Raw genomic sequence first — 26,314 nt, 5'->3', positions numbered from 1 at the left:
AAGGAAGCAGTGGAGTCTAAGATTTTTAGGGAAGGTGGTCAAAGTACTTTTTAATGTACTTTTTTTCCAAACTCCTAACAGTGTAGTTCCTACACCCACTTGCTTTCCATGATGTCAAAATCTGAGTTTCACTTCTGGTGAAGTGAGGGTGGGGTGGGGTATGCCTGAAGAAAGGGTCGGGGGAAGATTACCTGTGTCCTTGGCCTGTGAAGCGTAAGGGATTTGGAGTCAACTAGACCTGGAGCAGAATCCAGCTTTGGTCATTTACTAGCTGGGTGAACTCTTTAAGCATCAGCTTCCTCATCTATGCAGTAAGGGTAATACAGGTATTATTATTACCTATATCAAAGTGTAACTTGGAGGATTTAATGAGATAATGTAAGGCAAGACTTAGCTTTGTGTTTAGCACATGATTAGAATTCAATAAATATTAATTATTATTAGCCATTAGCCCCTTATTGAGGGGACTTCTAAAGACTTCCTTAGAAGTCCTAGTGCTCTGTATAGTTTGAAAAATACTGCCCTGGAGTATCTGATATGCAGACCTTACTCTGTGGTCAGAATCTATCCAGTATTCTTCCTACAAAGTAAAAATAACTAATCTCATATTAAAAACAAAATCAGAGCTTAAGACTCACTTTTTCTTTTTCCTCCAACAATACAAGACTTCTGGAGGTCTATACAGTGCATTTCCATACAGTTTTCTAAGAGTCCACTTTGTCCACATGAACAGATTTTATAACAACCAACTTCCCCTGCAGATGATGGCACCTGGATTAGTGTCCCTTGACGGACAATGAAATCAGAAGCTTCTCCCAGTTTGCAACCTGTACAAGCAAAAATTAGCTGAGAGAGATGGTACTGTTCTATGACATTGTTTTATAACATTAGATATACACTTGATAAAAGTCTTATAGGTACTAAATCACTATTAAAGATTATGTAATAGAACTTTCACCAAATTAAGGAATTGCTTTGGTTCATTGGCCAAAAACATACCTCTCAAATTAAAATTCCACATTCTGGAGGATGGTGGTGATTACAGATCTGTACCCCAAAGTGACCTATCATTCAGTATAACAGTGCTGTAAGATATGTAACTTTTTATTTGTAGGGGCTAGTAAAAAATATTTTAAAATCACAGATATTTTAAAAAATAGAATAGGGAAACTAACAGTATTTTTTTTTTTTTTTTTTTGAGACGGAGTCTTGCTCTGTTGCCCAGGCTGGAGTGTAGTGGCACGATCTTGGCTCAGTGCAACTTCTGCCTCTCGGGTTCAAGTGATTCTTCTGCCTCAGCCTTCCAAGTAGCTGGGACTACAGGCGTGTGCCACCACACCCAGCTAATTTTTGTACCCGGCTAATTTTTGTATTTTTAGTAGAGATGGGGTTACACCATATTGGCCAGGCTGGTCTCAAACTCCTGACCTCGTGATCCACTTACCTCAGCCTCCCAAAGTGCTGGGATTACAGGCGTGAGCTACCGCGCCTGGCCAGTATTTTTAGAATAATATTGTTCAGAAAAACTTTTAGTGATGGAAAACAAGTATACCTTAAATTCAAGGAAAAACTGAATATTTGGGTGGGCTTATGGAAAACCCATTTTCCATTTTCTATCTTATTATATGATGGGTTTTCTGAGTTTAATGAAACAAGAGGATTCTGAATTGAATTCCTTTTTTTTTTTTTTTTTTTTTGAGACGGAGTCTCGCTCTGTCGCCCAGGCTGGAGTGCAGTGGCACGATCTCGGCTCACTGCAAGCTCCACCTCCCAGGTTCACGCCATTCTCCTGCCTCAGTCTCCTGAGTATCTGGGACTACAGGTGCCCACCACCATGCCCGGCTAATTTTTTTTGTATTATTAGTAGAGATGGAGTTTCACCGCGTTAGTCAGGATGGTCTTGATCTCCTGACCTCGTGATCTGCCTGTCTCAGCCTCCCAAAGTGCTGGGATTACAGGTGTGAGCCACTGCGCCCGGCCCCTGAATTGAATTATATATTTAAATAATATGAAATACAGATGTCACCATTTTAAGTAACTATATCTTATTTTCTTGCCAAAGAAAATACTGACCAACTTATAATGTAAGGGTAAATGGACAGAAAATACTATCTTGAAATTTAAAACAGTCCGACATTTCCAATTTTGACAAGATTATGACTCTATAGCCGATATATTACAGTATTACACATATATTATAGATGATCCTTTGAGACATCATGCTTATTTCATCTTTTGCTTTATTTTACTTTAAAAATATTTTAAGGCCGGGCGCAGTGGCTCACACCTGTAATCCCAGCACTCTGAGAGGCTGAGGTAGGTAGATCACCTGAGGTCAGGAGTTCAAAACCAGCCTGGACAACATGGTGAAACCCTGCTGTCTCTACTAAAAATGCAAAAATTAGCTGGGCATGGTGGTGGGTGCCTGTAATCCCAGCTATTTGGGAGGCTGAGGCAGGAGAATTGCTTGAGCCCAGGAGGTAGAGGTTGCAGTGAGCCAAGATAGTGCCATTACACTCTAGCCTGGGTAACAAGAGTGAAACCCCGTCTCAAAAAAAAAAACGTTTTTTTTTAATCTTTTTTTTTTTTTTTTGAGACGGAGTCTGGCTCTGTCCGGCAGGCTGGAGTGCAGTGGCGCGATCTTGGCTCACTGCAAGCTCCGCCTCCCGGGTTCACGCCATTCTCCTGCCTCAGCCTCCCGAGTAGCTGGGACTACAGGCGCCCACCGTGCCCGGCTAATATTTTGTATTTTCAGTAGAGACAAGGTTTCACCATGTTAGCCAGGATGGTTTCGATCTCCTGACCTCGTGATCCGCCCGCCTTGGCCTCCCAAAGTGCTGCGATTACAGGCGTGAGCCACTGCGCCTGGCCTTTTTTAAAATCTTGATTCTAACATGATAAAGAAACATTCTCAATTGGGAAATAGATAAAAAGAAGCAAAATGTTGCAACAACTATATTCTAAAGGGATTGACAGAAAGATAAAGACTATCATAATTCTATGGGATAAAAATCCTTCACCCTTAAAGTTATATATATTTCAACATAACATTAATCTTTATGGAGATAGCTATACATTCTATTGAATATGCTATTTCTCTATATACTAAAGGAAAGGAAAGAAAAAACATGAACAATGTAGAGTATTTTTTTTCAAACATTACAACATAGAAGAGAAAGTACAAAAAGCTGGTCTGAGCTTCTTTTCTTTCATAGTCTAGAACCCTGCAACTCACGAGAGTCAAGTTTTAGACTGTTATTATTAGTTTACAATTTAAATAACAATGGAGGATTACAAGTGTCTGTCTTTTCCTGCTTACATCAATAATACATGTTTAATGAGAAAATCTCAAAACATTATAGAAAAACATAATATAGAACATGAAGTCCCTCATAATCTCACTCCGAAGATAACCCCTATATTACAGAAGGAGCAGGATTGAAAAAAAGAAAGATAGCTCCTATAAAGAAACACTAGCAGCACCTATCCATCCTCTTCTCACACCCACCTACCTCTTACCTTGAACACAAAAGTATGGAAGACAGGGATCTCCAGATGGACATCCTTTTCGGTTTACTTCACAGAGCTCATTGGCAGGGCAAGGATTTGGGTTACAGGGATGAGTCACTTCTTCTACAATGTTACCTAAAGTACTTGGCCCTGAAAAAACCAAAACAGATTAGTTTAACCAACCTAAAAGAGTAAGAGAAAACTGTAAATTATCTGAATTAATTATGGCTGGAATAAATGAAGAGCTCATGAGTGTAAAGTAAGGCCTGATTCTACCAAGCTATTAAAACACCGAGATTCTTTCATTTGTGAAATGATGAATTTCACATAAACATACATTCATTCTTTTTTTAAATTTATTGGGATCTACAATATTCCAGGCAAGGTTCTAGGTGCTGGAGATACAGTGATGAACAAAATAGACAAGTCTCTAACATAGAGTTTACATCTAGTAGAGAAACAGACAATAAATACACTATGTATGAGCTGGGCACAGTGGCTTACGCCTGTAATCCCAGCACTTTGGGAGGCTGAGGCGGGCGGATCACCGGAGGCCAGGAGTTTGAGACCAGCCTGGCCAACATGGTGAAACCCTGTTTCTACTAAAATATAAAAATTAGCTGGGCATGGTGGCAGGTGCCTGTAATCCTAGCTACTCAGGAGGCTGAGGCAGGAGAATTGCTTGAACCCGGGAGGCAGATGTTGCAGTGGGCCGAGATCACATCACTGCACTCCAGCTTGGGAGACAGAGTGCAACTCTTTCTCAAAAAAAAAAGCCCCCCCTCAAATTTAGCTGGGCGTGGTGGCATGTGCCAGCTACTCGGGAGGCTGAGGCAGGAGAATGGCCTGAACCTGGGAAGCAGAGGCTGCAATGAGCCGAGATTGCACTACTGCACTCCAGCCTGGGCAACAGAGTAAGATTCCATCTCAAAAAAAAAAAAAAAAAAAAAAAAAAAAAAAAAAAAATATATATATATATATATATATATATATATATATACACACACACACACACATGCTATGTATGTATATGTGTATCTATAAATAAATAATTAAGTCAGAAAATTGTAAGTAATAAGTAGTGTCAGGGGATAAAAAATGACAGGTATATTTTGGATAGGGTGGTCAAATAAGATGTCTAAGAAGGATAATTTAGCGTGTTTTATCATAAATGAGAATTTATTATGGTAATATGTATGGACTCCAAACCATGATTATATTTAACTTCGGAAATCATGGCCAAGGAAGAGTCTCACTTGATAGAAACCATGTGTGATATTTAAAGAGATATTTAATTTTCCTCCCATTGATATAGTTTCCTTCTACACAAATATTTGCCTGCTGTAATAGAATCTAGAATTATAAATACAATAAGTGTTGCTTACTTGATTTTAGGCCAGACTCATACTCTAAGACTAACAGAGGTATAAGGGCCCTTGGAGTTCATCTCATTTTGCCTAATTATTTCATAAATAGGGAAGCCGAGGCTCAAAGAAGTGATCTGCTCAAAGACACAAAGGTCTAAATTCCAGTCTAATGCTCTCTTTTTTGCTATATTGGTCACAAAGGTTAAGGGACACAGTTTGTTGGCCTTGAGAAAATATGGCGAATACTACCAGCTACAAATCTACCAGCTACAAATCTACCAGCTACAAATCCAGCACATACTTTTCTCTCCCTGATTACTAAAAGATCTCCAATTTTACTTAGGGCCGCAATGGGCCCAGAGCTTAAAAAATAACCTTTCTCAGTTTTCCTTACAACTAGGGATGGACAGTGTGACTAGGGAGAAGTTGTTTGCTCTGTCCCTTCCTTTTTACCTTCTGGAACTAGATTATGGTGGTTAGAACTCCAATAGCCATGTTGTGATGACAAAGTACATTAAGTAATCTTGATGACTGAAGCTAAATGCTAAGGATGGTGGGGAAAGATAAAAGGAGCCTGGATTCCTGATGATGAAGCCCTAGACTATTTGTTTCTGGGCTTTCTTTACTTCTATTTGTTCTGTTTTTTGTTAATCCTACCTAACACAGGAAAACAAAGGCTGACTTCACTGTCTACCTTTGTAGCCAGATCATGGCACAGATGCCCCCTGGTGGCAGCCTGAACACTTCCCTTAACTACTGGGTGTGTAGGAGTTCTACTTGTCATCCCCTGGTTTCCACCATGTATGGGTCTCACTGCCAAGAAGCTGAGCTCCAGCTCCAGGATCCCTCAATGAGATAGCAACACGCTCTTCTAGCTTTTGGCGGGAGTATTTGGCAGAGAAAAACTGAAGCAGTGAGATAAGTTCCATTTTTACATATTAAGCTAGACTATAATTTTTTTTTTTTTTTTTAGACAGAGTCTTGCTCTGTTGCCCAGCCTGGAGTACATTGGTGTAATCTTGGCTCACTGCAAGCTCTGCCTCCCAGGTTCACGCCATTCTCCTGCCTCGGCCTCCGGAGTAGCTGGGACTACAGGCGCCCGCCACCACGCCTGGCTGATTTTTTTGTATTTTTAGTAGAGACGGGGTCTCACCATGTCAGCCAGGATGGTCTCGATCCCCTGACCTCGTGATCCGCCTGCCTCAGCTTCTCAGAGTGCTGGGATTACAGGCTTGAGTCACCACGCCTGGCCTAGACTATCATTTTTTTATACCCTGTTGGGTGAGTAAGTCCAAGCCAATTCCTGGCTCTCATCCACTGACACTCTGATGACAAAAGGCTGATAGTCTCTGGGGGTAAATTCCACTTTCTAGTCATTATTATGGTAAGAAGACAGCAATGATATGGAGCTGGTTATCTGAGAATGCTGGCCCCCTGAGTCACTGCTTAGAATTCCTGACTGACCACAGTTGGTACCTCCTCAGACTGATAGAATCACTTCTGCTTACATATTTTAAAACAACAATTCTTTCCTGGGCCAAAAAGGCCAAGCAAACAAGAGTCTGTGATTGAGATGGTATCATTGAATCCCATGTTCTCAACAGATAAATGCTCATCCAAAACAAATAGTAAAACAAATAGTTGGAAGAGAGAAGTATTTGAAATCTAAAAACACACATACAAAAAAGTACTTACTGAGGTATGTATCCAAAGGTATACAATTCTTCAGATCATCTGTAGGTGACAGAAGCTCACAAATACTTTCAGCTGTGTGGTCTTCAGGGAATTTGTTCTGGTCTCCACATTTTTTAAGAATCTCCACACAATCTGATCTTGAAAAAAAAATGCACGTAAGTTTAGAGCTTGAGGAACCTCCTCATGTTGTCCAGTCAACATCACTTGTTTCTGAAGCTTTCCAGAAAGTAAGCTTTCATAACTTAACATGTTTCAAAAGAGAACAAGAGTCACAGGAGAGCTCAGGTTGAATAATAAATTGAAAGCACCCCTAACTTTCTGTTGTCTGAGACCAAAGCCCTTACTCAAATTGTACACTTCTTCGTACTGTTACTACCAGCAATGTGGCTTTTCAGTATCTTTGAAAGGAAATTAAATGAAGCTAGTCTGATTTACTCTCTGCAAAAATCATATATCCTCACTTCTAGGACCTTATGCTGGCTTGTTTGCTTGCTTGCCTCTTTTGCCTTCCCTTCCTTATCTAAGTCTCTTTTTAGTTATCAACATTAGCATCTGGCCTATAACAACTAGAAAGTCCACTACTTTAAAATGTTCTTGGTCTTCAATAGGGATTTGACTCCTACAAGTTTTCTGTGCTAAGAGTCTACATATTCCCCTCTTGTTGCCTCTTGCTTGTCACCTAATTGTTATACCTCAGTATTTCCCCATCAGGTTATCCCGAAGCCATGTCAGAGAATAGACTGGACTCTGTTTAAGGTTGAAATTATTAAGGTATCCAGCAGCACTGAGCCACATACCAACAGCTTAGGGGCTGGATATTAACTTGGTTTTGGAAAACTTTTGGAAAAAAAGATATGTGAAGAACAATGGGCAGATTACTATGTGTTAAATGCTTTTGGTTTCACCCACTATAGCAGCTCCTATCTTTACTTGATCCTTGATTTCCTAAGCAAAATAAGCTCCTTAAGAAGAGCAAAGTCGGCTGGGCGCAGTGGCTCAGGCCTGTAATCCCAGCACTTAGGGAGGCCGAGGCGGGTGGATCACCAGGTCAAGAGATTGAGGCCATCCTGGCCAACATGGTAAAACCCCATCTCTACTAAGAATACAAACATTAGCTGGGCGTGTAGTCCCAGCTACTCGGGAGGCTGAGGCAGGAGAATTGCTTGAACCTGGGAGGTGGAGGTTGCAGTGAGCTGAGGTCATGCCACTGCACTCCAGCCTGGCGACAGAGTGAGACTCCATCTCAAAAAAAAAACACAAAACAAAACAAAAAAAGAAGAAGAAGAGCAAAGTCTAACAGAATATAAGACAAGTCCATAAATTAACATATAAAAATAGAATTGTGCATCAGAGGTATTTAATAAATGTTTCATGAACTAAGTTCCATAAGAGAAGTACAAATAAAGGTCTATAGGAATCTGTAGTAAGGATAAATTACTTTCAGCTGGAGAAATCTGGGAAGACTACAGGAATGTCTGGTATTTCAGAGGAGACAAGGACAGCCAGTAGGTGGTGATGAGGGGAGCAGTATTTCAACTAGAGGAGGAAAAAGTGGGAAAGCATTTGACATACGGGGGTGATAGGCAAAGGAAGTGGTAAGAGAGAAAATTCTATGGAGAGGCTCTGGCTAGAGATCACGGAGGGTCTGAACTAAAGCTGGAGAATCGTTAGGATGAAAGAAACTTACTTGCAAATAATACTTCCCCGAGATTTACTATGACAAGGTTTAATCTGCAGTGAACAAGCTATTGCTTTCCACATCTCTGGCTGGCACTTTTTAATATCAAGAACAGGTATATTGATAAATGGCATCTTTATGCTTCCTTTCTCCCACAACTTCATGTCATTCATGGCTCCTTGATCTGACTGTGCATTACAACTCCTGAAAAGTTCTGTTGGCCTAAAGAGAAAAAAGGCCAGAAAGAATCAAGAGGCAATTATTTTCTAGAGAGAAGCAACAAGTAAAATCCTGACATACTAATGCATCAGAAAAATCTGGTTTTCTTAAGAAAGCACATACAACCCATGAAAGGATATCAGCTTCGATTGTATGAAGATTCAGTGTAGACACTAGCATTAAACTCTGATTGCATGTTTTCTTTTTAACAGATTCTTGTGGGGCAGTTTAAAACTTCACAATTCTCCAAACAGGACTATTATCCCCAGACTATCCCATTTCATTTCATAAAATAAATATTATGAGGCCAACTTTTTAAAATGGCAACATAATTTACAAAAGCAAAATGCACCAATTTTATGGGTACAGCTTGGTGTGCTTTGACAAATATGTACATCCATAAGCACATCTAAATCAATTAAGGAACCCATCCAACATTTCAGCCAGTTCCCTTGTGCCACTGTTGAGTTAATGCCTCCCTACTGACTGCAACTCAGAGGCCATAACTATTTATACTTATATCACCATAGATTAATTTCGCCTGTTCTAGGCTGGGTGCAGTGGCTCACACCTGCAATCCTAGCACTTTGGGAGGCCAAGGCAGGAAGATAGCTTGAGCTCAGGAGTTTGAGACCAGTCTGGGCAACATAGCAAGATTTCATCTCTACTAAAAAAAAACAAAAACAAACAAACAAAAAAATTGTGGCACGCCTCTAGTTCCAGCTACTCAGGAGGTGTGGCAGGAGGATTGCTTAAGCCCAGGAGTTCGAGGCCAGCCTGGGCAATAAAGGAATACCCCATGTTGAAAAAAATTTAAGCAAAATTTAAAGTAGTTATCAAGTTATTTAAAATTATAATAAACCCACTACATGTTAATATAAGTATTTTTATGAAAAATAACTATTTTCCAAAGTAAACATTAGCGAGAAGGATAGGACTGTTTTACAGTTTTGCAAATCTCTGTAATGTCTGGCTTAATAGAACTCAGGTGGATTTTCATATCTGCTTCTGCATTCAATCTGTTGTTGTATCACATGTTTTATAGCCACTGGAAAGCTCCACTGTTGTTGTTGTTGTTGTTGTTGTTGTTGTTGTTGTTGTTGTTGTTGAGACAGGTTCTCACTCTGTCACCCAGGCTGGAGTGCAGTGGCATGATCACAGCTCACTGCAGCCTCGACCTTGTGGGCTCAGGTGATCCTCCCACCTCAGCCTCCCAAGTAGCTGGGACTACAGGCACCCACCACCACACCTGGTTAATTTTTGTATTTTCTTTAGAGACAAGGTTTTGCCATGTTGCCCAGGCTGGTCTCAAACTCCTGGGCCCAAGCGATCTGCTCACCTTGGCCTCTCAAAGTGTTGGGATTATAGGTGTGAGCCATCATGCCTGGGCTAGAACATTTTCATCACCCTATAAAGTACCCTTGTGCCCCCTCTAGTCAATCCCTGATTCCAGCAGAGGAAAGGATATTCTGATCTTTATCACCATAGATTACATTTGCCTATTCTTGGATCTCATGTGTCAAGAATGTATTTTGTGTTGGGCTTTTTTTCTCAATGTAAGATTCATCCATTGCTATCCCATTGTTTGGATGCACCACAATGTTATATTCTTTCATTCTCCTGATAGATGTTTTGGTTCCTCTCCCCCATTTTTTGGGCTATTACGAATAAGGGTACTAGACAGGTCTTTATTTGGACATATGTTTTCATGTCTCTTGGGTAAATGCTTCAGGATAAAATTGTTAGGTCATAGATTTAACTTTTGAAGAAACTGAAAAAAAGCTCCAAATCCTCAAACTATCTTCTACTCCCAGTAGTAACATACTACAAGAATTCCACTTGCTTCATATGCTTACCAGTCTTTTAATTTCAGGCATTCTTGTGAGGGTGAGGAGGCACTGAATTGCTATTTTAATTTGTATTTTGCCATGACTGATAATAATGAAGCCTTTAATGAACTAGATGGCTATTTCTTTTAAATTTTTTAAATGGACAAAAATTATATATTTATTGTGTGCAACGTAATATATTTAAACATGACACATGTGGAATGGCTAAATTAAGCTAATTAAAATATGCATTACCTCACATACTTATAATTTTTTTGTGGTAAGAACATTTAACATCTACTCTCTTGGCAACTTTCAAGTATACAACTCACTGTTAACTATAGTTACCACATTGTATAACAGATCTCTTGAACTTACTCCTTTTGTCTAAATAAAATTTTGTGTCCTTTGACCAACATTTTCCCAATCCTCTCCCCTCTCTCCTCCCTCTTCTCTCTCCTCCTCCTGCACCACCTTTTCCAGCCACCCTCTGGTAACCACTATTCTATTCTCTGCTTCCATGAGTTTGATTTTTTTAGATTCCACATATAAGTGAGATTGTGCAGTATTTGTCTTTCTGTGCCTGGCTTATTTTATTTAGTGTCCTCCAGGTTCATTCATATTGTTGCAAACGACAGGATTTCCTTCTTTATAAAGGCTGAATAGGATTCCACAGTGTATATATACCACATATTCTTTATCCATTCATTCATTCATTGATGAATACAGGTTGATTCTACATCTTGGCTATTGTAAATAATGCTGCAGTGAATGTGGGAGTGAAATATCTCTTCAACACGCTGATTTCCTTTCCTTTAGATATGTACCTAGTAGTGGAATTGCTGGATCATATGGTACCTTCTATCTTTAATTTTTTGAGGACCCCCCATACTGTTTCCCATAATGGCTGTACTAACTCACATTTCCATCAACAGTGTACAAGACTTCCCTTTTCTCCACATCCTTGCTAACAATTGTTATCTTCCATCTTTTTGATAATAGCCATTTTAACACGTGAAGGGATAGTTCATTGTGGTTTTAATTTGTATTTCACTGATAATTAGTGATGTTGAACATTTTTTCATATACTTGATTAAATGGCCATTGTGATGTCCTTCTTCGGTAAAGGGTCTTTGAAAGTTTCTTGCACAATTTTTTTCTTTTTTTTTTTTTTTTTGAGATGGAGTCTTGGTCTGTCGCCCAGGCTGGAGTGCAGTGGCGCGATCTCAGCTCACTGCAACTTTCACCTCCTAGGTTCAAGCCATTCTCCTGTCTCAGCCTCCCAAGTAGCTGAGACTACAGGTGCCTGCCACCACGCCCAGCTAATTTTTAAAAATATTTTTAGTAGAGACGGGGTTTCACCATGTTGGCCAGGCTGGCCTTGAACTCTTGACCTCAAGTGATCCACCTGCCTCGGCCTCCCAAAGTGTTGAGATTACAGGTGTGAGCCACCACACCTGGCCTTTTTTGCATAATTTTAAAATTGAGTTGTTTTACTTTTTATCATGATGTTGTAGGAGTTATTTATGTAGTCTGGATACACAAGCTCTTTGACAAATATGTGTGTGTGTGTGTGTGTGTATGCACACACCTGTGCATGATATGTTGAACATTCCCTCTCAAGTCTATGACTTGACCCTTCAAGTTTTAAATGATGTCTTTTGGCAAACAAAAGATTTTACGGTTGAAGTCTAATTCATTTTTTTCTTTTAAAATTGTATATTTTGTGTCCTGTCTACAAAATCTTTGCCCACACAAAGTTTGTGAAGATGTTCTCCTATTAGCTTTAAATTTTTAGTTTTTATGTTTAGTTCTATGATCCATCTGGAAGCAGTTTTTTGTGTAGGGTGTGAAACACAGGTTGAGGTTCATTTTTTCCCCCTCCATAAAGATATTCAATTATTCTAGTATTATTTGTTGAAAAGATGTTTCTATTTATTTTATTTTATTTTATTTTTTCTTTTTTTGAGACAGAGTTTTTGCTGTGTTGCCCAGGCTGGAGTGCAGTGGCACAATCTCAGCTCACTGCAACCTCCACCTCCCGGGTTCAAGCGATTCTCCTGCCTCAGCCTCCTGAGTAGCTGGGATTACAGGTGCCCGACACCATGTCCGGCTAGTTTTTGTATTTTTAGTAGAGACGAGGTTTCACCATGTTGGCCAGGCTGGTCTTGAACTCTTGACGTCAGGTAATCCACCCACCTCGGCCTCCCAAAGTGCTAGGATTACAGGCGTGAGCCACCATGCCCAGCCTTTTAAAATTTTTTTTTTGAGATAGGGTCTCACTCTGTCACCCAGGTTGGAGTGCAATGGCATGATCTTGGCTCACTGCAACCTCCACCTCCCAGGCTCAAGCCATCCTCCCACCTCAGCCTCCTGAGCAGCCGGGACTACAGATGCACACCACTACACCCAGCAAATTTTTTTTTTTTTTTTTTTGAGATGGAGTTTCATTCTTGTTGCCCAGGCTGGAGTGCAATGATGTGATCTCAGCTCGCTGCAACCTCCGCCTCCCAGGTTCAAGAGATTCTCCTGCCTCAGCCTCCCAAGTTTACAGGTGCCCGCCACCATGCCTGGCTAATTTTTTTTTTGTATTTTTAGTAAAGACGGGGTTTCACCATGTTGGCCAGGCTGGTCTCGAACTCCTGACCTCAGGTGATCCACCCACCTCAGCCTCCCAAAGTGCTAGGATTACAGGCGTGAGCCACCGTGCCTGGCCAATATTTTGTATTTTTGATTGATGGTGTTTCACCATGTTGCCCAGGCTGGTCTCAAACTCCTGAGCTCAGGCATTCCAACTGCCTCAGCCTCCCAAACTGCTGGGATTATAGGGGTGAACCACCATGCCTGGCTGAAAAGATGTTTATTTTTGTATTGAATTGCCTTGCTGCTCTTGTTGAAAATCAGTTTCCTATACTTGAATTGAATTTCCTAATCTTTTATTGAGGATTTTGGCATCTCTGAGTGACACAGGACAATAGTTACCTTGTTTTTAATGTCCATGTCGGTTTTGGTATCAAGGTAATGCTAGCCTCATAAGAGGAGTTGGGATATGTTATCTGCTTCCTGAAAAATTCTGTGTAATAATTGCATAATTTTTTCCTTATGTGTTTGGTAAGCATTACCAGTAAAGCCAGAAGTTTTCCTTGTGTGAAGATTTATAATTACAAATTCAATTTCTCTAATAGTTATAAGAATAATCCTAACTTGTACTTCTTCTTGTGTTAGTTTTGGTTTTTAAGGAATGCATCCATTTCATCTAAATTGCAGGATTTACTGGCATAAAGTTGTTCATAGTATTCCATTTATTTTTTGAGAGAGTCTTGCTCTGTTGCCCAGGCTGAAGTGTGGTGGTGCAATCTTGGCTTACTGCAACCTCTGCCTCCCAGGTTCAAGCATTTCCTTTGTGATTTCTTCTTTGTTGCATAAATTATTTAGAAGCGTTTGTTTAATTACCAAATATTTGGGAATATTTCAATATAGTTTATTTTTATTGATTTCCAATTTGATTCTGTTGTGTTCAGAAAATATACTTTTTATGATTTTCATCTTCTGACAGCGGTTGAGACTTGCTTTTTAACCCAGCATATGTTGTTCAAATCCTCTATATCCTCACTGATTTTTTTCCATTTGTTCTATTAGTGAGGGAGAGGTGTTAACATTTCTGAATATGATTGAATATTTCTCTCTCTTTAGGGTTTACTTCTGTTTTTAAGTATTTTGAGTATATGCATCTATCTGACATTAGGTGCATATATATCTAGGTTAATTGTATCTTCATGATAAATTGAACTTTGATCATTATAAGGTGATACTCTTTATCTCCAATAATAGTCTTTGTCTTTCTAACAACCTCTGCCTTTCAATCGATGTTTTTAGTTCATTTACGTTTATGTAATTATTGATACAGTTGGGTTTAAGTCTCTATCATTTTGCTGTGGTTTTCAATTTGTCTCCTTTTTCTTTCTGTCTTCTTTTGGATGGATCAAGTATTATTTTAGTTTTCCATTTTATATTTCCTATTAGCTTCTTAGCTATACCTCTTTGTGTTGTGTTTTAAATTAGTGGTTGCTCTAGGCATAATATATGTCCATTATTTATTATAGTTTTCCTTGAATTAATACTATACAATGTCACAAATAATGTAAGAAACTTATAACGGTATAATTATTTACCTCTCTCTTATCCTTTTTGCTACTGTCATATATCATATATTTTACTTCTATGTATAAATTCCACAATACATTGTTATTATTTTTGCTTTAACCAATTACTTTTGAAAAATAAAATACAAAAGAAAAAAAAGAAAAAGAAAATAAAGAAAAAATATTTTTCATGTTTACCAACATTTACCAATCCCAGTGCTCTATAGGTCTGAGTTTTCATGTGGCATTTTCCTTCAGACTGAAGAATTTCTTGTAGTGAGAGATTGCTGGCAGAAAATTCTGAGGTTGTTTTTTTTTGTAATATCTAGAAATACCTTTATTTTTGAAGAATATTTTCATTGAATATAAGATTTTTTTTTCTCTGAGTACTTTAAGGATACTACTTGGGATACTACTTGATGGTCTTTGGTTCTCCATTGTTTCTGAAAGGAAGTCACTTGTCATTTTTATTGTTATTCCATCATATGTAAAGTGTCTTTTTTTCTCCCTTTGGTTGTTTTAACTATTTCTCTTTGCCTCTGGTTTTCAACAGTTTGACTATAATGTGCTAGGTGTGTCTCTCTTTGTATTTATCTGACTTAGCGTTTACTAAGGTTTCCCAAAAAATGGGTTAATGTATTTGATCACATTTGGAAAAATTTCAGCCAAGGTTTAATCAAATATTTTTCTGCTCCTTTCTTTCCTTTCCTTCTGGGTTACTACCACAGATGTTGTATCACTTATTCTCTGTGCTTTGGTTTAGATAGTTTCTATTGAGCAATCTCCGAGGTCACTGACCTTTTTCTTCTGCTGTGTCTATTTTCCATTCCCTACAATAAATTTATTTTAGATATTGCATTTCTCAGTTTTAGAGTTTCCATGTGGTTTTTTTTAGAGCTTCCATATCTCACCTATATCTATCTTTACCTGTAGATCTTTCAATATATTTATCATAATTAGATTCTTTATCTGCTAATTCCAATAGTTGGGTCACCAATGGGTATGATTGTTTTTTCTCTTAACTATGGGTCATATTTCCTATTTTTCTCATTTCTAGTAATTTTTGATTGTATAATGGACATTATGCATGATACTTTGTGGGATTTAGGATTTTGTTACCTTCTTTGGAGGAATGTTGTTTTCACACCAGCAGGCAGTTAAATTACTGACAAATACCTCCTTCCTCTGGAGGCAGTTTCAGGTTTTGTTAAGGTTTTTCAGCTTTACTCTTAGCTCTTGGATGTCGTATGTACTCCCAAGGTTTGGCCCTTATGGGGTTTACTAGGCCCTTCTAACTTGGCATAATCTGAATTCTAAATCGTCTGCCCAGCAAATGCTAACTGCTATAGTCTATGTTCACCTTCCCCTGGGTTCCTTGTAGTCTCATCCTGCAAAAGTACAATTTAGGAGTCAGCCAAGGACTTAAAAGGAGTCTGTTTATGGATTTTGGGACATTTCTTTTTGTGGTTCCCTCCCTTGTGGGATTTTTTTTTTCCTTCAATATCTAGCTTCTCTGGCAGGACCAAACTCTGATGTCTCACTCCTTAGGCCAAGACTGCTGCTTTCTGCTTGAACTCTACTCCCCATGAAAAGAAACTGAAAGTGCCTATGAGGAAGAAGTGCACAAATGTGGCTTTCGCTCAGTGTGGTTTCTATCTTTCAAGAGACGTTGGCCACTCGTGGTGGCTCACGCCTGTAATCCTAGCACTTTGGGAGGCTGAGGCAGGCAGATCACTTGAGATCAGGGGTTCGAAACCAGCCTGGCCAAGATGGTGAAGCCCCGTCTCTACTAAAAATACAAAAAAAAAAAAAAAAAAAAATTAGCTGGGTGTGGTGGCAGGCGCCTGTAATCCCAGCTACTTGGGAGGCTGAGGCAGGAGAATTAATTGCTTGAATCCAGGAGGCGGAGGTTGCAGTGAGCCGAGATCATGCCACTATACTCCAGCCTGGGTGACAGAGTGAGATTCTGTCTCAAAAATAATAAAAAAAAAAGATGTAGACCCTCCTGCTTTTGATCAGTCTCCAATACCTTCAAAACAATTGTTCTTTTATATTTTGTGCGGAGTTCATAATTGGTATTGGTAGGACTGTTATTCTCATACAAGCTACTCCACAATTACCAGAAGCCAGACCAGAACTATGTGCCAAAGTCTAACTTTCAAACATTTCAGATGTACTCAATCTCTAAATCAGGTCTTTACTGGCTAATACTCTATCACCAGTTTTAAAGATATCTCAATTTTCTCACTCTTAAGTAATACTCTGAGTACTTTAAAAAAAATAAGATGTGTGTTAGCTTGAAGTAAACACCATCTGACAAAAATATCTAGAACTTCCTTCTGGCCCAATTGAATGATTCTCTTCCCTTTTGCCCTCTTTATTTCTGGGTTGTAACTTATAAATCAGCCACCTCTTCTTTAGTAACTCTCTCTCTCTTGCTTCTGTATGGAGTTCTCTCATTTCGTGCTTCCGGTGCCCTCTTCTGTTTTCTTTGGTTTCTTCAACCATTAACTGTTGATATGCTCCAAGGCTCAGTTCTTGCCTCCTTATTTTTCTAATGATACTTGATACCCTGGGAAAACATCTATTTGAATTGCTTTTGTAAAGAAATATTTTTGTATGAAACAGGGGACTCACAGAGAAGAAACCTCAACCAGTCTCAAGGTCCTTTAAAGTAAACTGTTTAAAAGTGGACATTTGGATGACCAAATAGTTCACAATAATTTATTCTACAATGAATTACTTCCACTGGTGGTACAGTAGAAGGGAGAGGGGACTGACGGCAGAAGAGATTCTTTGAATTCCAGAAGCTTGAGGTATCTCTAGATTGGAAGGGACTTTGTAATAGTGTTTCCTTTCCCAGAGGTGGCTTACCAGATGGAATACTGCATTTAAAGATTAAATCATAAAGAAGACTTTCTTTTAACCCAACAGGAATAAAATCAGAATAAAGTGGTATTTCACTTATTTATAATTAATGATAAAATATTTCCATTCCATGTATAATAATTTGTCTTACCTGTTGTTAAAATTAGTACAGTAAGTAAGGTTTCTACAGCCCAACTGGCAAGGTTCCCGGACATCCGCTAAACAGGTCAACATGGACACTTCCACTGGATTATATTCACAAAAGCGATCAAACTCTTGCCAACTCTGTGTATTGCCCCAGCTCATGCTGTAAAGTTTAGTGCAGAGTTCCCTGAAACAAGAGCACAAATGCAGAAGCCGACATGAGCCAACCAAGTAAATATTTGATTTGCATAAAACTAAAACTCTATGAACTATATACTTTGGAACGTATGTGAGAAAAAAAGTAAAAAAACCAAATGACTATTTCCTAGAAACTAGAGCCAGAAAAAGTTGATTGTTTTCCATGGAAAACAGGCTTCTTTTATCACCTACCTTTTCTCTTTTTGTCAAGGTTGCTAGAAATCTCAGTGCCAAATTTAATGTTCAATTACAGTATTTGTGCATCCTTAGTTCCTGGCACAATTATTTCCCCCTATATCTTTCTGATTTCTTTTTTACTTTTACTTAAAGTACATGGTTTTGCCTCTGCAAAGATATATTCCCTTATATTTATGTTCAGTCACAGACGGTAAAACTAGGACATGGTCCTCTGACTTCTTTTAAGAAGCATGATAGACTTAGGGTACATTAGTTTCTCCCTGAAAAACTATACTAAAGCCATTTCTATTCCCTAAGATATTCCAAAGCCTCTATGTACTATTGTAATACACAATCTTCTTATTTTTAGTACTCAATGATTACAAAGCAACTTAAGTATGTGTATATAGCTAAAACATTTATACCATTTCTAAAGTGCTCTCACACATGATATTCATTTTATTTATAAAATACATGTTTACAATAAAATTTTCATATTATTGAAATATACAAAATTATAAGTAAAAATTTTCATTCACCTTATATTTTGACTGTCATATTTACCCCTATGACAAAGATATCTTTACTTTTACATTTGTTCATTCACCCCACCAATGTTTATTGAGTGTCTATTTTGTGTGAGGGCCTGTTGAAAGCACTGGAAATACAATGGTGAATAAAACAGACAAGGTCCCTGCTATCAGTGAGGCTTACACATTATGGGAATAAGGAAGCTGTGATCAAGTTACATCAGGTACCTCGATCTGGAAGCTTTCTTTTTTCTAGTCCTTAACTTTCTTTCTTTTTTGTTTTGTTTTTAGAGACAGAGTCTCACTCTGTCACCCAGTCTGGAGTGCAGTGGCGTGATCTCGGCTGACTGCAGCCTCTGCCTCCTGGGTTCAAGTGATTCTAGTGCCTCAGCCTCCCAAGCAGCTGAGATTATAGGCATCTGCCACCACACCTGGCTAATTTGTGTGTGTGTGTGTGTGTGTGTGTGTGTGTGTGTGTATTTTTAGTAGAGATGGGGTTTTGCCATGTTGACCAGGCTGGTCTGGAACTCTTGACCTCAGGCGATCCATCTGCCTCACCCTGGAATTACAGGCTTGAGTCACTGCATCTGGCTAGTCCTTAACTTTCTATAGGTTGGGTATCCCTCATCTGAAATGCTTGGGACCCAAATTTTGGATTTTTTTTGGATTTTAGAATACTTGTATATACCTAATGAGATATTTTGGGGCTAGGACCCAAGTCTAAACACGACATTCATTTATGTTCATATATACCTTATACACATAGCCTGAAGGTAATCTTATACAGTATTTTAAATAATTTTGTGCATGATACAAAGTTTTGACTGCATTTTGACTGTGACCCATCACATGAGGTCAGGTGTGGAATTTTCCACTTGTGGTGTCATGTCAGCACTCAAAACGTTTCTGATTTTGGAGCATTTTGGATTTCAGATTTTTGGATTAAGGGTGGTCAATCTGTATTTGCCTTGGACAGGTTATTTAACATCTCATAGTTAGTTTATTAAGTGTAAAAGAAAAATTACATAAATTTCTCCAATTATCTCCTAAGGTTTTATGAAGATGAAATCTGATGAAAATGCAAGCCTTCAGCAAACCATAAAACCCTGTATCAAGGTTAGAGAGAAGGAAAAGCCTTCCTTACTGAAGCTCTTTTGGGACAACACGGCCATTCCAACCTCTAGTGACTCTACGTAGGTGTAAACTTTTTTGTGGGCATTCAAAGAAACACTCAGCATCCTTCCCATAAATATATTTATTAACTTCTACAAGCAATCTAATTTCCTTAATTACAAGCCTAATTTAATTTCCCTTTAAGCCTTTTTGTTAATTTTCTTTGGAGATTTTTCACGTCTTTCATTTATTTATTTGGAGACAGAGTCTCGCTCTTTTTCATGTCTTTAATTAATTAATTAATTTATTTTGAGACGGAGTCTTCACTGTGTCACTCAGGCTGGAGTGCAGTGGCGCAATCTCGGCTCACTGCAACCTCTGCCTCCCAGGTCCAAGTGATTCTTCTGCCTCAGCCTCTCAAGTAGCTGGAATTACAGGCATGTGCCACCACGCCCCGCTAAATTTTGTATATTTTTTAGTAGAGACAGGGTTTCACCATATTGGCCAGGCTGGTCTCAAACTCCTGATCTCAGGTGATCCCCTGCCTCAGCCTCCTGAAGTGTTGGGATTACAGGCATGAGCCACCGCGCCCGACCTTCATGTCTTTTAAAAAATTTGCCAAAGTTTGATTGACAATTACCAAAGTCTGATGAGCTATTCTAGGCAAAATTTTTTGCTAAAGGTCCATCCAATTTAGAAACCACAGGAAAGATTGTTTTACGCCTGGTATCTTATATTCATTTCAGGATATCCGAGTAACATGGGGTCCCTTTTTACCCCAAATATCTCTAATAAAGCACATTTCTATTGTACCTGTGTTCTACCATGATCTTAGGTATCTCCATTTGTTTTTGTCTCTAGACTGCAATTCCTACATCCTATATTTGTATTGTTAATTTTTCATCTCTAAGTGTATCACCAAGATGAATGCCAATATGCTACCACCTAACTCTGGTTATAAGTGCTAACCCAGGTTATCCACCAATATAATAAAAAGTTCAAAGTTTCATAATTTAATAAAGAGAATGTCCCTTAGATGTCAGATCAAAACATCTTCTAAACTGTAAGCTTACTTAATGATCTCTATAAGGATAGAATTCATCTATTGCATCATCTTAAATATTTACTACCCTGCCAATGCTAATCCTCCACACCCCAAAACACAGAGCTTTTAGCACTCAATATACAGAACAATGTTTTGTATACGGTACACAATGCTCAATACACATTTGTTGGATGAAATAATATTTTATATTTTCTAAATGCTAAACCTATACCACGTAAGAATATAACACACGTTTGCTAGGCTTAAAATCATTAATTAAAATGCCATTTTCTACTGATTTTGGTAAAGGAAAATGAAATACTAACCTACATGTTGAAGTGTTTGCTTTAGAACAACAATGCAATTTAGCCCCATCGAGGCCTGTAGAGGGAGGAGGGTGTACAGTGACTCCAGGGTGAACAGATTGTGAGCTTTCAAGAAAACATTGCCAAAGAGGATCTTGAGGCAAGGGCTGGGTCTTACAACCCTCGATGAGACCATCAACAATCTCCATTTCCGTTTTCTTGGACATCAGGATTCTCTTGCAGGCATTTTGGCAAGCATGGTCTTCAGCTCTGTCACAGCAATATAAACCTACATTTTCAGAATATAAGTGGCTTAATTAGCTGTTTTTTTTGTTTGTTTTTATTGTACTTTAAGTTCTGGGATACATGTGCAGAATGTGCAGATTTGTTACATAGGTATACACATGCCATGGTGGTTTGCTGAACCCATCAACCTGTCATCTACATTAGGTATTTCTCCTAATGCTATCCCTCCCCTAGCCCCCAACTCCCTGACAGGCCCTGGTGTGTGATGTTCCCCTCCCTGTGTCCATGTGTTCTCATAGTTCAACTCCCACTTATGAGTGAGAACATGCAGTATTTTGTTTTCTGTTCTTGTGTTAGTTTGCTGAGAATGATGGTTTCCAGCTTCATCCATGTCCCTGCAAAGGACATGAACTCATCCTTTTTTATGGCTGCATAGTATTCCATGGTGTAGATGTGCCACATTTTCTTTATTCAGTCTGTCACTGATGGGCATTTGGGTTGGTTCTAAGTCTTTGCTACTGTGAATAGTGCTGCAATAAACATATGTGTGCATGTTTTTTTTTTCTTTTTTTGTCATGCTCTGCTTAGCACAGAACATGGCAGTGTAGTGGAAGCCATTACTACTCTTAGTTATATGTCAGTATTTGCAGAATACAGGCCCTACCAAATTCTCTATTACTTTGCAGTGTAGCAAAAAGGTGAGGAGCTTTAGGTGGACAAGGTATCTATTACCAGAATTCACCACTGTCTCCAATCATGGGATCTTTAGCACCATCCTTACAAAAATGAAAGGCCATCCTACACCTAAGAAGTCCTCACAGGAGAGGTATTTGATATTCCTAGAAAAGGTATTGTAGATGAAACTGGAATTATTTCCTGCTAGAAACAATTACCTAAAAGGGATTATGTTCTTGACATGAGAGAAATGACTAATTTTTATAGCAACAAACACAAACACCATATTGAGAGGTGAAGCCGGCTGGGCCTCTGGGTCAGGTGGGGACTTGGAGAACTTTTCTGGCTAGCTAAAGGTTTGTAAAGGTAGCAATCAGCACTCTGTAAAAATAGACCAATCAGCACTCTGTAAAACGGACCAATCAGCAGATGTGGGCGGGGCCAAATAAGGGAATAAAAGCTGGCCACCCGAGCCAGCAGTGGCAACCTGCTCCAGTCCCTTTCCATGCTGTGGAAGTTTTGTTCTTTCACTCTTCACAATAAATCTTGTTGCTGCTCACTCTTTGGGTCGGCACTACCTTCATGAGCTGTAACACTCACTGCGAAGGTCTGCGGCTTCACTCCTGAAGTCAGCGAGACCACGAACCCACTGGGAGGAACAAACAACTCTGGATGCCACCTTTAAGAGCTGTAACACTCACGCGAAGGTCTGTGGCTTCACTCTTGAAGTCAGCGAGACCAAGAACCCACCGGAAGGAACCAATTCCAGACACAATATTTCATTACATTCCAGGACCACATAAAGCTTTTATATATCTTATGCTAATTAATCTAAGTTGTAACATAAATAGTACAGTAGCGAACTCTGACAAGATATCAGTTTGGCTCTGCCTTTAATTTTCTCAAAGAATCAGAAATAAAAAAACACTTTCAACCATATTACAGAATTCAGAAGGGCTTCTTTGAAGTAGTTTTCTCTGACTTTGGAAGAAATCTGTGCATATCTGTTTGGCGCCTTCTTTTCCAGATTCCTCTGTATTGGCAAAGATGGAGACGGTTGTTCTACCCTTAAAACCTCTTTCTGCTTTTTTATTGAGCTGCCATCTCCTTAGCTCCAGCAGTATCTCGTATAGACTAAATGTCAGAGAGCACAGATCTGCCTTTAAAACAAATGAAGGTTATTGGGGCAATGCTTCATCCTCTGATTTTGACCACACAGCTACACCAAAGGATGTCAAAAGCCATTAGAGTTCTGATTTAGATGGTGGCCAAACAAGGCACACAGTACTGCTACTGAGTTACAAAAAACAAGTCTTTCTTTCTTTTCATCTTTTTTTTTCCCCCCGAGGCAGGGTCTTGCTTTGTTGCCCTGGCTGGAGTGCAGTGAAGTGATGATGGCTCACTGCAACCTTGAACTCTTGGGCTCAAGCGATCCTCCAGCATCAGCCTCCTGAGGAGCTGGGTGTGTCACCACACCCAGCTAATTATTATTATTATTTTTTTGTAGAGCTGGGTTCTCACTTTGTTACCCAGGCTGGTCTCAAACTCTTGGCCTCAAGCAATTCTCCTGCCTCAGCATCACAAAGCGCTGAGATTACAGACATAAGCCACAGAGCCTCTTTCAATATCACAGTGTAAATCAAAACATTGACATCTTATAAATCAGTCTTTGGTCAGTTTGGTCAATCAGTCAGTTTTTATAAATCTGGTCACCTCTAGGTGAAGAAAATGGATTCCAGGATGTACAAAGCGGAGACTCTGAAGAGCCATTTCAGGTGCAGCTTCATCAGGAGGCCCTAATTTTTAAAAGATATCAGGCTCTCTTCTCATTGTTATGACTTTTTAATTACAAAAGTAATAATTGCTCATTGGCAAAAAATTCAAACACTGTGGAAAATATATAAAGTGAAACAATTAGGTATAAACTAAAAATATATCACACTATATTTTTAGTTCTGTGATTTACTTTTTTTTTGCTTAATACATCTTGGACTTCACTATTTTTTAGAGACAGGGTTTTGCTCTGTCACCCAGGCTGGAGTGCAGTGGCACAATAATAATTCACTGCAGCCTTGACCTCCTGGGCTCAAGCCATCTTCCTGTCTCTACCTCTCCAGTAGCTAGGACTACAGCTATGTGCCACCATGCCCAGTTAATTTTTTAATTTTTTGGAGACATAGGGTCTCACTATGTTGTCCAGGCTGGTCTTGAACTTTTGACCTCAGGCAATCCTCCCATCTAGGCCTCCCACAGTGCTAAGGTTACAGGTGTGAGTCACTATGCTGGCCAACTCGGACGGGCCTACCTTCCTTCCTTCCTCCCTCCCTCCCTCCCTTCCTCCCTTCATCCCTTCCTTCCTTCTTCCTTCCTGACGATGTCTGGTCTGTTGCCCAGGCTAGAGTGCTGTGGCACAATCTCGGCTCAATGCAACCTCCACCTCCAAGTTTCAATCAATTCTCCTGCCTCAGCCTCCCGAGTAGCTGGGATTACAGGCATGTGCCACCACACCTGGCTGATTTTTGTATTTTTAGTAGAGACAGGGTTTCAACATGTTGGTCAGGTTGTTCTTGAACTCCTGACCTCAGGTGATCTGCCCACCTCAGCCTCCCAAAGTGCTGGGATTACAGGCGTGAGCCACCGTGCCTGGCCTTTTTGTTTTGTTTTGTTTTTTTAGACAGGCTCTCTCTCTGTCATCCAGACTGGAGTGCAGTGGTAGGATCTTGGCTCACTGCAACCTCAGCCTCCCAGGTTCATGTGATTCTCCAGCCTCAGCCTCCCAAGAAGCTGGGATCACAAGCGTGTGAACCTGGCTAATTTCTGTATTTTTTGTAGAGATGGGGTTTCACCATGTTGCCCAGGCTGGTCTCAAACTCCTGAGCGCAAAACGATCTGCCTGTCTTGGCTTCTCAAAGTGCTGGGATTACAGGCATGAGCGACCACACTCAGCCTTGGACTTCTACGTAAGAAGTCCTTTTTTTTTGTTGGTTGCCAAGTGTTATTATTCTATAGGTATGCCGTAATTTACTTAATCAATTTTAATCAATGCTGTATTGATGGATGTTTGGGTTGTTTGTCATTTTTCTCTATTATACCAGCATTGTAGTGAACATTGTTTATATGCATATATATTTATTTTTGCAAATTTATATAAGTTTTCTTATGAGATAAATTCTGAGAAATGGAACTGCTAGATCAGAAGCTTATGATAATTTGAAATCCTAATGGTCATTACCCAACTTCCCTCTAAAAAATCCATATCAGTGAACTCTCCCACCCTCAGAATTGAGAATTCCTGTTTCCTCATACCCTCTACAGTTTCATCTTTCTTGGCCCCTTTTGGCTGTGACAATATTATTCAATCTGCCAAATCTAAATACCAAAGGAAGTCTGATATTTCTCAAATGACCCAGACTGCAGATATCTACAAGAACGTATCACTTCTTTTTACAAACGATTTTACCAAAGATTGAAATGAGAAGAATATGTCCCTTTTACTTACTATCCGTTGGGTTCCTCATTGGATAAGATTGAGTATAATTGTTCACACAATGTATTAATTGTGGACTAATAGAGGCGCAATAATTTTCCACTGCTTTTATCTGAGATGGACCAGGAGAAGAGTCTGTTCGAAAAATGGCTTGACAGTATTCTCGGCAGTTTGTGTGATGACCTGCATAACTGCAACAAACCGAGCCCACTATGGAGAAAAAAAGAGAAGGCACTGACATGGAAACAGCTTTTTGTTAACATTAAATCATCATCATAATGATGGAACAATATGTCTTTCTAAATTTGAGAAATAAAACCATGCCACAGACGATGAACACTTAAAATCGGCACTTCTGTAGGTATACTCACGGGGACATTCAAGTGCTCACTAGTGTAATAAAGTCATTAATCATCAACTTACAGTCTATAGTCCAGTGGTTCTCCACAGGAACAGTATCACACCCCACAAGGAGTTGGACTACGACTGGCATTTAGTACATGAGGGTTAGGGCTGCTAAACGTCTTGCAATGCATAGGACAGTCTCAGACAACAAACACTGTCTCTCAAAATGCCAAGAGTGCCCATGTTGAAAACCAGTGAAGCAGTGTCTTTCTGTGTTAGATTTGTAGAGGTTTATAAACACAAAGCAAAGCAAAACCAAACCAAACCAAAATAAAACAAAACCCCAAATCCCTCACATTTATAAAACAGGGCCAGTAAAAACTAAGTGATGTAAGGATCATTTAATAAATTTGACATTTATATAACTGTATATCTTGAAACAAAATCCCAAAAGTTCTGTACAGTTTGAACATCTATCTGTAAGAGTTTGCCTAAATTGAGATAGACTTCATCTCACAATTGATATGTCCTGCTTCAACACTGAAAAGAAAACTCATTTGAAATAAATATTACTCTGGATTTATTTATTTAAAAAATCAATGGGCTGTCATTTAAGGTATTTTGGGAGAGCTAGATGAGTAGCTGGGGGTGCAGATGTGGGATCTGTAAAGGAGAAGAACAAGAACCCCTCACAGGAATCTAAGGGAGTCTGTGGGAGGCTGAAGGGAGAGGTAGAGGTAT

At 39.2% G+C, this 26,314-nt stretch overlaps 1 protein-coding gene across 6 annotated transcripts in view, besides 2 other annotated features; it reads right to left on the bottom strand.

The window, feature by feature from the left end:
• RECK (reversion inducing cysteine rich protein with kazal motifs) overlaps window positions 1–26,314 on the bottom strand; it is an 87,543-nt gene that overhangs the window by 15,653 nt on the left and 45,576 nt on the right. For 3 of the 6 annotated variants that reach the window (NM_001316345.2, XM_017015207.2, NM_021111.3), the window contains 7 exons: window positions 25,241–25,438; window positions 20,842–21,109; window positions 17,460–17,639; window positions 8,260–8,472; window positions 6,573–6,709; window positions 3,520–3,660; window positions 639–827 (listed from right to left, as the gene is read on the bottom strand). In NM_001316345.2, coding sequence (NP_001303274.1) covers window positions 639–827; window positions 3,520–3,660; window positions 6,573–6,709; window positions 8,260–8,472; window positions 17,460–17,639; window positions 20,842–21,109; window positions 25,241–25,438 — 1,326 coding nt within the window. Of the gene's footprint in view, window positions 1–638; window positions 828–3,519; window positions 3,661–6,572; window positions 6,710–8,259; window positions 8,473–17,459; window positions 17,640–20,841; window positions 21,110–22,518; window positions 23,629–25,240; window positions 25,439–26,314 lie in introns of those variants that run through there. The other 3 variants (NM_001316348.2, NM_001316346.2, NM_001316347.2) reach the window with 3 other exon arrangements.
• Window positions 6,004–6,504: an enhancer, noted in NCBI's record as "H3K4me1 hESC enhancer chr9:36102296-36102796 (GRCh37/hg19 assembly coordinates)". NCBI's record gives its function as "activates a minimal SCP1, AML or CMV promoter by ChIP-STARR-seq in primed H9 embryonic stem cells {active_cell/tissue: H9 hESC(primed)}" and the evidence as "EXISTENCE:reporter gene assay evidence [ECO:0000049][PMID:30033119]".
• Window positions 15,757–15,976: an enhancer, noted in NCBI's record as "active region_28344". NCBI's record gives its function as "activates an Ori minimal core promoter by ATAC-STARR-seq in GM12878 lymphoblastoid cells {active_cell/tissue: GM12878}" and the evidence as "EXISTENCE:reporter gene assay evidence [ECO:0000049][PMID:35858748]".

This window comes from Homo sapiens, chromosome 9, assembly GCF_000001405.40.
Source record: "Homo sapiens chromosome 9, GRCh38.p14 Primary Assembly".
In the NCBI taxonomy this organism is placed as follows: Eukaryota; Metazoa; Chordata; class Mammalia; order Primates; family Hominidae; genus Homo; species Homo sapiens.
The sequence above is the reverse complement of the archived record's forward strand: the minus strand, read 5'-3'. Positions and strand labels throughout refer to the sequence as shown.